This window comes from Homo sapiens, chromosome 5 (genome assembly GCF_000001405.40).
Source record: "Homo sapiens chromosome 5, GRCh38.p14 Primary Assembly".
Taxonomy (NCBI): Eukaryota; Metazoa; Chordata; class Mammalia; order Primates; family Hominidae; genus Homo; species Homo sapiens.
The window spans coordinates 101719730-101734707 of NC_000005.10; the positions used below are offsets into that span (position 1 = coordinate 101719730).

A 14978-nucleotide genomic window follows, 5' to 3' on the forward strand; every position below is an offset into this window, starting at 1 on the left:
CAAAAGAAAACAATTTGCTAATGTCATACAAATAGATTTCTGTGACCTTGAGCAAAATAATGCAGTAATATACAAACAGGCCTAAATATGAAACTGCCCACTTTTCCATTACGCCATACGTATTACAATCCTTAGATGAGTTGCTGGTTTTCTGCTACTTAAATTATCTTAACAGTAAACTGAGGATAATACCATAGCAGTCTAATTGGCACAAGGCTCAAATGTGATAATATAAAAATGGCTTAGAACAGTATCTGGAACACATAATCAGTGCTCAGAAAAAGTGGCATTGCAGTCAATGTGCTGTGATAACAGTCATCTCCCAGGTCTTTGTATCAGTTTGCTATTGTTGCCAAATAACAAAAATTCAGTAGCTCATAAGCTGATGGGCAACCTGGGCAGCTCTACAAGAGTTAAGCATTCTCAGAGGGGATCGCTCACTCATCTGTAGTCAGGTGTGGTCATCTAGCGGTAGTTTCTGCTTATGTCTGGGCTCTCTTACACGCCTGGAATATTCTAACCAGGGAACCATGTGACCACACTGATAACATGTCCATGAATCAGACCTGATTCAGGCCCCATTCATAATAACAGGTGAGAAAGTAAAAATTTGCATGAACCCTGAAGGCAGAGAATTAGAAATATTTGGAGAACACCACCAACATTTCTCACAATTGTTTTCTTTTAGTTGTTACTGTGGGGAGCAAGTCACTTAAAGTAAGATTTATTTTGATATCATGTCACCACTTACTTAACATGCTCTTAATATGTTCCCTCTGTCACTCTGAAAAGCCCAGCACCATTATCCTTGCCTGAGTTGCAGGGATCATATAAACATACTACTTGAGGCTGACTTTACTGAGTTGAATCTAGATTTTCCCAATATCAAGTTATTTTTTACTAAGTTCACTCATAAAGAAACCTGTCACAACTTTATTAACATCAACCTGTTAATATTAATAATGATTCAAAGTGTTCAGCATTCAGAACATAGTCACATAATTGTGTTAATGAGAGATACTTTCTTAATCCACTGTAACAAATCTTTAGTAATGGACATTTTAACATGAATAATTGACTTAGAGTGTAACTTTTTTTAAATATGAAAATTCCTGAAGTCCTTTTAATCACACTGGCTAGAAGAAATGCAGGCCAATGTAGAGAGAGATATACACACCCAACATTCGATCTGCCACCCCACAAATCCAGCTCCTTTTCCATTTGTGTGAAGCCATCTTTATTAGGATGAATAGATTGTGGAATAGATAGGAATAGAGGCCGGGTGCGGTGGCTCACGCCTGTAATCCCAGCACTTTGGGAGGCCGAGGCGGGTGGATCATGAGGTCAGGAGATCGAGACCATCCTGGCTAACAAGGTGAAACCCCGTCTCTACTAAAAATACAAAAAATTAGCCGGGCGCGGTGGCGGGCGCCTGTAGTCCCAGCTACTCGGGAGGCTGAGGCAGGAGAATGGCGTGAACCCGGGAAGCGGAGCTTGCAGTGAGCCGAGATTGCGCCACTGCAGTCCGCAGTCCGGCCTGGGTGACAGAGCGAGACTCCGTCTCAAAAAAAAAAAAAAAAAAAGGAATAGAAAAAAGCCGAAGAGTCTGTACCTGTGTCACCATTCATCTCTTTTTTTTGCTCCCATACTATAAGATCATCTGATACTGGATAAAATGTGAACAAACACCTTATCAACATGGGTGTGTGAATGACTCTGCATAAAACGAAGCTCCTCATCAACCAGCAAAGTTCAGGTGGCATGGGAGAAAAATATCTTTCATTGTACTAAGCCACAGATTTGGGGATTTTTTTTTAAAGCAGCGTAGCCTAGGCTATTTGACTAATACCCTGACATATATAGTTGGTCTTCTCATAGATTCTTTTTCCTTCTGTCAAAGGTATTATTGTAGCAGAGACTACATGTACAGCACACAAAGAATAACAACATTGGGCATAGAATAGAATTTCTAGTTTTTGTAGCTTGAAAAGAGAATAATTAATGCTGAGTAGACACATACAAACCCCAAATTATCATATTGCATCAAATCTAAGCCACTATTAATTGTAAACTAAATCTTAACATATATCATTTATAAAGAAAATATATGCTGCCAATTATAAGTATTACCTACTATTGGTTGTGAGATTATTCTAGATTTATGAAATATAAAAGATAAACCTTTTGGCATTGTCAACATATGGCAATGTTTAAGTCTCCATTGCTTTTCACCTTTCTTGCTTGAAAAAAAAGGAATGTCTCTTGAATCAGCATAAACAAATTTTTGTTTTTGTGGAAAAAGTTATACAAAGATATGGCATTAAAGATGGCTGCAATGTCTTTGTCATTTCTCCTACTGAGAGTTTGAATCTATTTCCTTTTTCCTGGAATCTGAGTTTATTTTGTAAATTGTTTTCACCAATACAATGAGGCAGAAATTACACTGTACAACTTCTGAAGATGGGCCTTAAGAATTCAGCAGCTTCAAACTTTAAATTTTGGAAGGCTCCTTCTTGGAGTTCATCAGGTATGCTGTGAGAACTCCAAGCATTGTTGAGAAGCTACCTATAGGAGAATCAAAGCACACTGGTTGAGCCCAAACTGAAATCTGAAAATAAATCCAGCAATAATTGCCACCTGTGTGCATGGGCCTCACTGAAAATCCCTACTCAATGGAGTTTGCAATGATCTCGTCCCTGACAACACTACCTGACGTTTAAGAACCACTCAGCTGCGCTCAGTTAACCCACAGAATAATGAGATATAGGGAATTTTTGTTGCTTTTACAGTTTTACATCATCAAGTTTTGGCAGTTGGCTTTATAATACTACACAACTTTAAAAAGAGAATTGCAGTAATAAAAGGGCCTAAATTGAGTGACGCTCATTAACATAAGAAAGGAAAGGATGTTACTTACAACATAAAGGACTTCATTGTATGGAACAAAAATAGATGAGAAAGTAGATGGGAAAGCTAACACAGGTAGAGTTTTATGAGAGAGAGAGAGAGAGAGAATAAAGCTTCAATTTTGAAGGAAAAGAGTTAAAAAAAAAGTTATGAGCAATACGTGTGGGACTTCAGGGAGATAAAAAAAAGCTAAAGAAATTCCAGAGTATTTTTTTTTTTGAGACGGAGTCTCACTCTGTCACCCAGGCTGGAGTGCAGTGGTGCAATCTTGGCTCACTGCAACCTCCGTACCCCGGATTCCAGTGATTCTCCTGCCTCAGCCTCCCGAGTACCTGGGATTACAGGTTCCTGCCACCGTGCCCAGCTAATTTTTTGTATTTTTAGTAGCGACGGGGTTTTACCATCTTGGCAAGGCTGGTATTGAACTCCTGACCTTGTGATCCACCCCGCTTGGCCTCCCAAAGTGCTGGGATTACAGGCGTGAGCCACCATGCCCGGCCTCCAGGGTATTTTTTTTTAATGTCAGTTCTAGTGGAATTTCTTTTGTGACCTCTTTGGGTTAAGAGGTAAACTGAGGCACAATAAAATTTTAATGGATTTAGTCAAACAGCAATTTATGAATGATGCAGTTTCAAATTAGCAATGGTTCAGAGGTTCCATGGACTAACACAAAGGGAGAACTTTTATAGGGTGAACGTAAAAGTAAAGCAAAGCAAATATTTAATTGGTTACAGTTATACCGTTGTCTTATTTGGTCAGTCCTCCCAGAAAGTTCTTAGTTATGTAACTATGATAACCTCTGATTGGTTAGCCTTAAGTTTCATTTTTCTTTAATATTGGCATTTACAGGAAATAGCCGACTCAGGTTAAGTTTTGTTTATGTTTGCAAATCAAGCAAAGTTAAGGTTACTTATGAGGCCTAACTGGCTTTGTCTACTCAGGGATTCTTCATGACTGATCTCCATTTTAATTTACTTTTATAAGTGTCATATTTAAACATTTAAATTACTTTTCAATGTATTTATGTGTCTGCTTACTTATTTTTTTCACACCTGTATTTCTTTTGAATGAGTCATGATGCTAATACTTGCCAAAAATTAATTCATTTTTGCATTTCTTAGAATACAGTTAAACAGGGTGTAATCAAAGTCTGACTTCATTTTTGATGTTTGATTGTTGACTTTTTTTAAACCTCAATTCTTTTTTTGTTCTTGGTCCTACATCTAGACAGACTGATAAGAAAGACTGTTAGGTCACATTCTCATTTAGTGCCAGTGGGAAATTTAAACTTTCTGCTAGTGAGAACATGCCCCAGTCCCATCCCTCCACGCCAGTCACTATATAGGCCCAACCCACTCCTTCTAGTAAGCCCAAGCCAGCTTGGATTTTCTCCTGCTCACCCAGCTGTCCCCAGGAACCCCTTGTGTGAGTAATTAACTTTTTAAAAGTGTAGAATATTATGGAAAACCTATTTTTTTTGCAAATAAACAAAGATCTGTGGCAACTTCAAAAATGAAGGTAAATATAAAAGTCAAGTTTTCTTATATTTTAATAATTATATTACTGTGTGCTCCAATATAGTAGACTTTGACCAAATGCAGCTATTTAAATTTAAATTTAAATGAATTAAAACTAAATAAAATTGAAAGTTCACTTTCTCACGTGTACTAGCCATGTTTAATATGTGTGATGTTAGAAACATCCACATCTCAACAGAAAAATATACATTTTTTCCTTTGCCAAGGTGGACTATATTCTTAGAAAAATAAAATTCCAAAAACTGTAAAAGAATTTAAATTTTACAAATTAAATGTTCTAGCCAAAATGAAATCAAATTAAAATTCAACAGCAAAAAGATATCATTAAAATTTTCTAAATTCAAAACATGCAGACATAGAACTAAGTAATTCATGGATAAAAGACCAAGTCAGAAGAAAAAAAATGAAATATTTTGAATTGAACAAAAATTAAAGCACATAATATAAAAATGTATGGGAGGCAGATAAGCAGTAATTATCTTCTCTATAGAGAAATTTATAGCATTAAATGTTTATACTAGAAAATAGTAAAGACTTTAAATCAATAATCTATGATACCTTCTTAAGAAAGAAGAAAAATAATAATAGATAAAATTGACATAAATCTTTAGAATGGAAATAATGAAGTGAAGAGCTGAAACTCAAAATGGCAGAAAAAAAGACCCAACTATATGCTGTCTACAGAAACCCACTTTAAATATAACAATGTAACTATCATTTAAAAGTAAAAATACCATTAAAAGTTAATGGATGGGTCTTGGGGGTATGATGAAAATGTTCTAAAATCATATTGCAGTGATGAATGCAGAGCTCTGTGAATATTCTAAAAAACTACTTATCTTAAATGGTTGGATTTTATGACATGTGAATTATATCTCAATAAAGTGATTTTAAAAAATAAAGGATGGAAAAGAATATTCCATGCAAATATTAAAAAAAAAACTGAAACCACTGAAATTGAAAACAAATAGAAATATAGAGAAATCATTATTGCCAGAATCTGTTTTAATTTTTATTTTTATATTGTACATTGACCAATTATAGTTCTATATATGTATGTGGTACAAAGTGATGTTATTATTTATGAATACCATGTGAAATAATTAATAAAAGGAAAAACAAATTGACAGACCTCCAGTCAATCTAAAGTAAGATAAATAAAGGCAGGAATTATTAGTATTAGGAATGAAAAAAGGTACATCATTGAAGTTCCAACTAACATTAAAAGGATAATAAAGTAATGTTATGAACAACTTTATGGCAATAAATTCTACTACTAGCTTAAAGACAAGCATTTTGAATGATACAGACTACCAAAGTTCATTCAGGGGCAATAGACAACCTACGATGTAAACCTATGACTCTTAACTAGGTTGAATTCATATATAAAAAGCATTCCAGTCAGGTGTGGTGGCTCACGTCTGTAATCCCAGCAGTTTGGGAGGCCGAGGCAGGCAGATCACCTGAGGTCAGGAGTTTGAGACCAGCCTGACCAACATGGAGAAACCTCGTCTATACTAAAAATGCAGAAAATTAGCTGGGCATGGTGGTGCATGCTTGTAATCCCAGCTACTGGGGAGGCTGAGGGAGGAGAATTGCTTGAACCCAGGTGGCGGAGGTTGCAGTAAGCCAAGATCCCACCATTGCACCCTAGCCTGGGCAACAACAGCGAGACTCCATCTCAAAACAACAAACAAACAAACAAACAAACAAACAAAAAACCCCAAAAAACCACTTTACAAATAAAATTCAGTTCCAAAATACTTTACTGGCAAATTCTATCAACTAAGGAAAAAATATTACCAACTGTACAAAATCTCATGCAGAAAATTTTTTTGAAACTTTTTCATCTTGTTTTTTAAGGCCAGCATTGCCATGATGTCAAAACTATACAAAATAACAATAATAATAATAATAATAATAATAATAAAGTAGATAAAAATAAAACTATGGAACAATGATCTCTCAGGCACACGAAAGATTAGAAAATAAAATCTAGCAATACATAAAATAATTTTTCATGTCCACGTAGGTATTATCACAGATACGCCAGGGTGGTTTAATTAGAAATCAATCAACTTAATTTACTGCCTTAGTCGATTAAAAGAGAAAAATAATAAAGTCTATGAGTGTCTTATATTCTTTGGACCAGTAAGTAACTGAGACATACTTTTCTCATGGAAGACAGGAATTTAACTGGCCAACCCCAACAGCCGAAGCAGATTTTAAGCTCACAATACAATTGCAAACAACCCATTGATCAGTGCAAATTCTACAGCCAAACTCAATGTCAGTAGGATAGAAAAGTGTACTCCACTTACCTGGGACAGTGAGGTGAGAAAATATAAATATTTCCTGAGCAATAATCCAAACTACATCACTTATTATATAGTCATCTCCATAAAGCAACACCTTAGGCAGATACTATTGTATTACATATCATACAAGCAGAATAAATATGTCAATAAGATAGATTAGAGAAATGTAGGTTTTGTTACAGATAAATGACTTTTCATTTTCTGATTAACTGTATCAACAATTTTCAGTAAAAGCCTATCTAACAGTAACAGAACAGATGCTCAATACATTCTTTATGTGTAGGTTAGTTGAAAGGGCACAAAGTTAAAGTCTGATAGACCTTGTTTTATATCCTCTTCTGTCACTTGCTAGCCCAAGTAAACCTGGGCAAATTATTTTTTTTCATTCTGAATCTCAATTTTCTAATTAGTGAAATAATTCTATCTTATATTTTTCTTGAGAGAATTATATATATACACATATATATACATATATATATATCTACTATACCATTTCATAATAGCTTCCATATATATGGTAGCCCAATGTCATGCCTACAACATAACAGGTATTCTCATTCATATGTGGTAGCTGTTATGAAATAATGAAAGGACTATCATGATGAAGTAGTAGTTAGGTCTCCACCCTGAAGGAAAAAGAAAGAGTAAGGCAATTAACCTAATAACTATTTTTAAAAAAGACCCCAACTTAGACACATAAATTATCTGCAAAACAGGATGTTGTGGTAAGTCTAGTGTTAGAGTCTTCATTATTTTTATATTTATATTTCACCTGTAGCTAACTTTCAACTGGAATATCTTTCCGCAGGAAACAAGCACCTCCGTTGGAACTGTTCAACTTTCAACTTAATTGGAGAGCTAAAAGTGGTATGTGTCACAGGCCCTGAAAAAGAACATGGCCTTTGACTGAGCAATTCCATTTATAGAAAGTTGTTTGTGAAGTAAACTAGTAGATAAAAGCTTAATAGCACCGGAGTTTGTAACATAAAAATCTGGAACAATTTAAAAGTTCAAAACATAAACAGTGCTTTAAAAATTCCAATATTATTATAGAAGGAAGACTAGAAAGTTGTTTCTCAAATAATGATACGGTTTAATACTTACTGACATGTAAATACACTTATGGAATATTAATTAAAAAGAAAAGTTGTAACAACATAGACATTAGGCCATGAGCCAATTTTCATTAAATTCATTCAAATATTCTTTGGGTACTAATACATCCAGGCATTTGTTTTTTAGGCACTGGTGCTCCAACAGTAAATAAGGGAATCAACATGCTGACCTTAGTGGAATTTGCTGCTTATTATATGTAATATAAGCCTGAGAGTGTAGCCATCAACATATTAACAACCATTTGTCTCAGGTTCGTACAGTATAGGTGCATATTTTATTTTATTTTATTTTATTTCATAGATAATTTGCATTATTTGTGTAAGCAGCCATTTCAGAAGTCTGAAATGAAAAAAAAAACTTGCTTCACAAATCATCATGATGATACATTCTATTTGCATAGCACATATGTTTTTCTCCCAAATGTTTCTATGTATATGTATGTCCCTAACCGAAAACTGGACCAGCTTCTTCCAGGAAGTAGCCTTTATCCCCTTCCCCTATGCACAGACACTAGGATCCAGATTATTCCAAAATTCAAAGCCAAGAACTAAAGCCAATTAAGTTTTTCTCCAATATATCACCACATTCTACTGTTACTATTTTTCAAAATCTCACCGTAGTTCATGGTTTATTAATTTTCCTGATTCGCTCATGTAAATAAGGCGTACTAAGTATGAAGGAGCACAGATATCAACACATTCCAAACAAGGTAAAATAATTTAATTTCAAATTTACTTGAATAGATTATCAGGCTCAGAATCCTTTTCTTTTTGGCAAAGCAGTTTTTATTGTCCATTTCAATGTGTCTGGAAATAAGTTTGTAGGCTTTATCGGCCAGAATTAAAACTGCCCTTTGAGAGGTTTACCTTAATATCAACGATATTTCCTTTTTGATAAGATCATAATTAAATATACTTTATGTACATAAATTTGGTCTCTCATTGATTTTACTTTCTTAATTTTAACTGACCAGAAAATTGGGAAAATTGGACATATCAATTTTATGCTGAATAATGCTTTTGAAATTGTCACTCACAGAAGCTGTCATTGTCACTTAGGTTGTAGAAAATAATAAATGCAATCAACTTTACACAACTGACACTGTAGCCTAACAATGCAAAGATCTGTAGAAACAGGTGGGGAAATACAAATGCCATTTTACACTACATTCAATAGATATTGACAAATACCATTTATCTTTGTAGATCTGATTTGTTCACATTCAAACTGTTAATATAAATGTTGGGGGAAAATTATCCATGAGTTTATTGCATTTCTATATGGTCTGGCCATTCTGAGCAAAGGAAATGGTTGAATAATAAACATCTTGGAAACTAGAGACAGTGTATCTCTATATATAGACATATACTTCCCAGAAAACATCCCCAGGTATTGAAGAGAAATTCTGGAAGCATTTTCTTGGTTTCCAGTGTAATAAATGTGGAGATGCCTTTCCCCTTCCCACTTGGAGGAGATTTGCTTACACACTGAAGTAATGAGTACTCTCTCACTCTAGAGGGCAGGATGAGCAGATGTGCCAGTAGTCCTATGAAATCTGTCTCTTAACAATTTGTGATTCCTTTCTTACAATGTAACCCCACTGCACATGCAGGCCCTCATTGAGTTACCCTGTGAGGAACTGATACAAAATGCTGATCTGGCTGCTGTCAAGAGGATGAAATAGATAAAGCAAGACATAGACAAGTTCAGAGGTAAGAGAAAGCATTGTATATATGGAGATGGAAATTGGTTGAGTACTTTTTAATCTTTTTCATGAGTGGAATTATAAGAGAAGAGTCCGAGGGAGGTGGACATCAGTGATGGCATCTTGTATTTTTTATTCCGAAGATTGTAGTATATCTAGAAGGCTGTGGTGACATCAAAGCATGTTAAGCTTTGGAAAAGAACAACATGGTCAGATTAACATATTAAAGAAATTGCCTGATTGCTCTATTAGGAACAGATTAGAGAAACCAAAAGTGGAGGCAAAGATTGTGATTGAAGCTATTGCAGGAGTCGAGGTGAAATGTTGGAGGCCTACTTCAGAGACCAGCTACAATCAACCTTAAAATCACCAAATGACAATAATCAAACCACAAAAAAGAAGCAGCTGGTGCTTCTGCCTTTTATGGGAGTTTTTACTTTTACATTTCTTCCTTCATGTATTCATTCACAAATCCAATGTTTACTCTCTCTGGCCTTATTCCAGGTACTCGGTGTGCAGTGGTGAACAGAATAGCTGTATTGTCTGTACTCACGAGTAATAGGATTCTAGGAAAAAATTCACGGCATGCTCAGATTTGAAAAAAATAAAGGTAACTTTAACCAAAAAATAAAAGCTGTTTACTTAAGTGTGGGCAAAATGTTTGTAAAATACAGGTTATTGTGTAAACTCAGGGTAAGTAATAACTATTACTAAGCTGAAGCTTGAAAGGATAAGGTAAGAGAGTGGTGTCCATAATTGGAGACAAGAAAGCTCTGTGGAGAGGGACAACTTTGAAGACAGCAGGAACCTTTGTAAGTAAGACATAGACAATCCAAAGGAATCATACAGGTGGAAGATAGATACACAAATAGCTCATCCTTGCTTTCCTACCCACCTTTATTCTCTTGCCAGGGATCTCTGGTGGCTGAATCCAATTGCAAGCTGAGCACATGGGAGCCCTGTGAAGTAGTCCTTTTTGGTCATCTTCTCTGAGAAAAAAAGAGTAGAAATGAGTAGATTTGGGTAGAGAATGGATCTAGACAAGTAAACAGAAGACATCTGGCACATGGTTTTGCCAGACTATTTTACGCATTTGTCTCCCCTTTTATAGACTGTGCTTAGTGTTTATTTTAACCTGGTTTCAGCCATATAGAACACTGGGGAGATGGGGTTTGAGCTAAGATGTGTTGACTTTCCCTCAGTGAGTTATTTTTCCTGTCCTTACAGCTCTTTATTAGAAACAAGCAGATATTTGTTGTTAAATCCAATCTGAAATGGGGGTGAGAATTCATTCTTCTTGAAAATTAACAAATTACTTTTCCACAGACCATAGTGGAAATACATACATACACACACAGACACACACACAACTTTGAATCTGCTTATATTTTTAAATAATTTTATTACTTCCTTGATAATTGGAAATTATGGCTTTTGATTGATTATGAAAATATATTTTACACTTTGGGAGGCTGAGGCAGGTGGATCCCTTAAGCTCAGGAGCTCGAGGCCAGCCTAGGCAACATCATGAAACCCCATCTCTATAAAAAATACAAAAATTAGCCAGGCATGATGGCATACGCCTGTAGTCTCAGCTACTCAGGAGGCTGAGGAGGGAGGATTGCTTTGAGCCCAGGAGGCAAAGGTTGCGGTGAGTCCAGATGGTGCCACTGCACTGCAGCCTAGGTGACAGAGAAAGATCTTGTCTCGAAAAATAAAATAGAAAAAAAGAAAATATATTTTTATTTTTTCTAATAATCTATATTGTTGCCTAAACAAAATTCTATCATTTGGGATAACATGGATGAATCTAGAATATATTATGCTAAGTGAAATAAACTAGGCACAGAAAGACAAACACCACACAATCACATTTATATGTAGAATCTGAAAAATGTTGAATTCATTGAAGTAGAAAGTAAAATGATTACCCAAGTTGGGGCCAGGGGTGGAGAGTTGAGAGAATGGGGTGTTGCTGTTCAAAGAAACAAAGTTAAGCTAGACAGGAGAAATTGATTTTGAGGTCTATTGTACAGCAAGGTGACTACAATGAATAATGTATTGTATATTTTAAAGTAACTAAGACAGTAAATTTCAAACGTATCACAATAAAAAATGTTAAGTGAGGTGATGAATACATTAATTAGCTTAATTTACTCATTCTACGTTTGTATACATTTATAAACATATCACATTATACTCCATAAATATAATAAAATTATGATTTATCAATTAAAAATAACATTAATTTAAAAAGAAAGTATTGGAAATCAGATTATCCTATTATTTAAAGTTTTAACAATGACATGCCTTTAGAAATAGAAAAAACAAAAAATTTGATATAATTAAAATATGATTTCCTATATTTTATCACCATATTTTTACTGTTTCCCAATAATTTGAACCCTCATGTATATATTTTATTTCAATAATATTTTATACATTTATTAAGCTTTTTTGTGTGATTTAATATGTAATGACTATTGTTTTGGTAAATAGTTTATGAATCCACTACATAAACTGTGACTTAGTGTCTTCCATACATCAGGCATATTCTCACTTAATTTTTGTCTAACTGGTCAGTAATAGGCTCAAGGTCATTTTTTGACTGCAAATATCTGTGTTTTACCAGATTAGGTTTATATAAGTTTTTACTGTTTAGAAATCTGATTTTATCTTATTCAGCATTATGAATTCCATTTGTGACTACACAATGATTATCTTATGCTTTTTCATTCATGCTTTCACAGTTTGGTTCAATTAACATTGAATTCAATGCATTACATATTTCATTATTAGATAATTTTTCTTAAATGTGGATCTTGCAAATGGCTTATTGTAGGATTGTTTTTACATTCAAATGTGAGACTATTACCTTTTGATAGAAAAAAAATTGGGCTGCATACTTTCATTACTATAATTACCACACTAGGTTTGGCTTCAGCTTTTCTGATTAATGACTTCACTTTTAATGTTTTCTTGTTCTTTGTTTTTTTTTTCTATTGTGACCTCAGTATATGACACATCTTTATTCTGTTTATTCATGTTATCATTTGTAAGACAAATATTCTGGTTTTAATTTTTTAGCAGATGTTATTTAAAAACACACAGGTCACAAACATACTTAGTATATGCATTTACAAGAATCATATAAGAAATACAATTATTTTACTTTTATTAGAGGCTAATGGAAATAATTAAACCATTTTGCTATATAATACAAGAAAGATGTTATAAGAAATAGTGTATTGAATTCAAGTTTCCCGAACTCTTAACTCTCCTGCATGAGTTTGTAGAAATTGCCCAATTGTATGTTGTAAAAATTATCTCATCATAATAAGAAAATTGTCAATATACAGCATCAGAACATCTCTATCATCCTTCCTTCATTCTCCTATAATGCTAGTAAACATGTAAGTTTTTATAATCACTATTGATAACTCTTGGCTACTACCAACTAAACTAAAACCTATGAATATTCTAAGAATATTAAAATAATTCAATCTTTTAAGAAAAACACCAGTATTATGTGTGCAAACCCATCAGCCATTAACCAAGAAGTAATGGGTTCAGACTATCAGACTTGAGGATTTAGAATGTAAATTGATCAGCCTCAGAGAACCAGTGTCTATTCTGGAGTTAAATTGTTGGAATCAAAAGGTTAAAAATATAAATATTGGATATTCAAAAGAATCTTTCTGTAAAAAATATTAATGCATAAATAAAAACTACAGTATTTCTATATAAATAATTTGTTACCTTATTTCAAAAAGCCATCATGACACAAGAATGTCCATAGTCTGTTATGAGAAAATACATTTTATAGGAATAAAAAGTGTTCACATAGGCTACCATAAAAGCTGGTTTTTATGAGATTCCTAAGAAACCCATTGACAGGTAGAAATGGAATCAACTAAATAATGCCTGATGTGACCTCTAGCTGTTTGTTGCTTTTGTTTGTTTGTTTTTTCTTTCACTTATCTGAATGTAATTATTTTGTATTATATAGTTTCTACACAGATTCCATAGAGCAAAATTTCAGATCTCCCTATAATGAGATCTATAGATCAATTCTCTTTCTTGTACGTTCTTAGAGCCAAGAGTATTACATTTTCTTGTGCTCTGCTCTTCATAGCTAAGAGGTGTATACACTGTGTTGAAGGAGTTGAATTCAGACACATTTCTCTGTACGTTACTACACAGTTACAAGATAAGGAGCATTCTCAATTATATCCAGCCAGGTAGCAATATTGCAAAATAATGTTGGTAAAACCTTATTCCCATCCTTCCAAGTATGCAGGACTTTCTAACTAATGCTGTGTCTTTCAAAGTAATGTCATAACCCTTCAGGAAGACATGGTTTTCACCAAGCTGCAGAGTGAAAAATCAGTTTGGAGCATCCCTACCTGGAATTTATCTTCATTTCAAACTTTTTTTGTCTACCTTTTGTCTTATTTTTGCCACGATTCTCTTATTCAGTTTGATCTATCATTCTTTATTCCTTTGCTGTGCTGCAGTTTCTCCTTGCTATTCCTTCGTCACTGGTTAGCACCTCCTTCTACCATTTCATTCTACTCTCACTCTCTCACCCCTTCCCTCCTTTTTCCCTATTATATTTGTTCCTTTCTCTTGGCTTCACACACACGAATACTCTCACATCACTCAAACACATTCTCCCACACTAGCTCACAGCCCTGATTTTTCTCTGGCTACTGAACACAAACAGTACCAAACTTATAATAAGATAGGGTGTTTCTACCCATGTAGCTAATTTAAGGGACAAAATAAAGTTACTACCAATGAAAATGAACCTGAGGTGGCAGTGGTTCCCATTACCCTGACTACATTGAGGAGACCCATGATCTGGGCTGGATAAATAATATATGTTGCTCTCCTGTCACAGAAGTTTGCCAAGAGGTAGGCAAGGGACTAAAGCCACACTCAAACATTCTGGCCTTTCTTATTTTTCTTCTTCAGTTGATAGCCCCAGAATCTCTTTGCCCACTCCTGATTGCAGCTACTTGAGTAAGCACCTAGAAATTATGGTAGACAAATTTCCTTTCTAGGAAGAAGCTGGTGGAAGTGAATCTGGAACTCTGAGAAAAGAAGAGATTAGATCAAAATCAGAATTCTAGTTTCACAGTGTTACTGATACCAGTCCCTGGGGACCACAGAGATACCTTACTTACAGCATATATTTATTTAATTCAGTGAAGCTCCTTCAATTCATTTCAGTAAATCCCTTTGTTTCATTTATTTCTTTTATTTTCCTTGTTTATTTGTATTCAAGATAAGTTTCAGCAACTTCCAATCAAAACATTCCTGCTCATATAATATATTTCTCCACCCTTACCGCTATCTACCCATCAGATTCGCTGTTTAGAAACTGACATG

The 14978-nt window shown here is 34.4% G+C and overlaps 1 long non-coding RNA gene across 2 annotated transcripts in view; it reads right to left on the reverse strand.

Annotated features, from left to right (window-relative positions):
- The window catches only part of LOC105379102 (uncharacterized), a 328753-nt gene that overhangs the window by 194147 nt on the left and 119628 nt on the right, over positions 1 to 14978 (reverse strand). For both annotated transcript variants that reach the window (XR_007058891.1, XR_948628.3), the window contains exon 3: positions 10480 to 10573. This is a non-coding gene — a long non-coding RNA (uncharacterized LOC105379102). The remainder of the gene's footprint in view (positions 1 to 10479; positions 10574 to 14978) is intronic.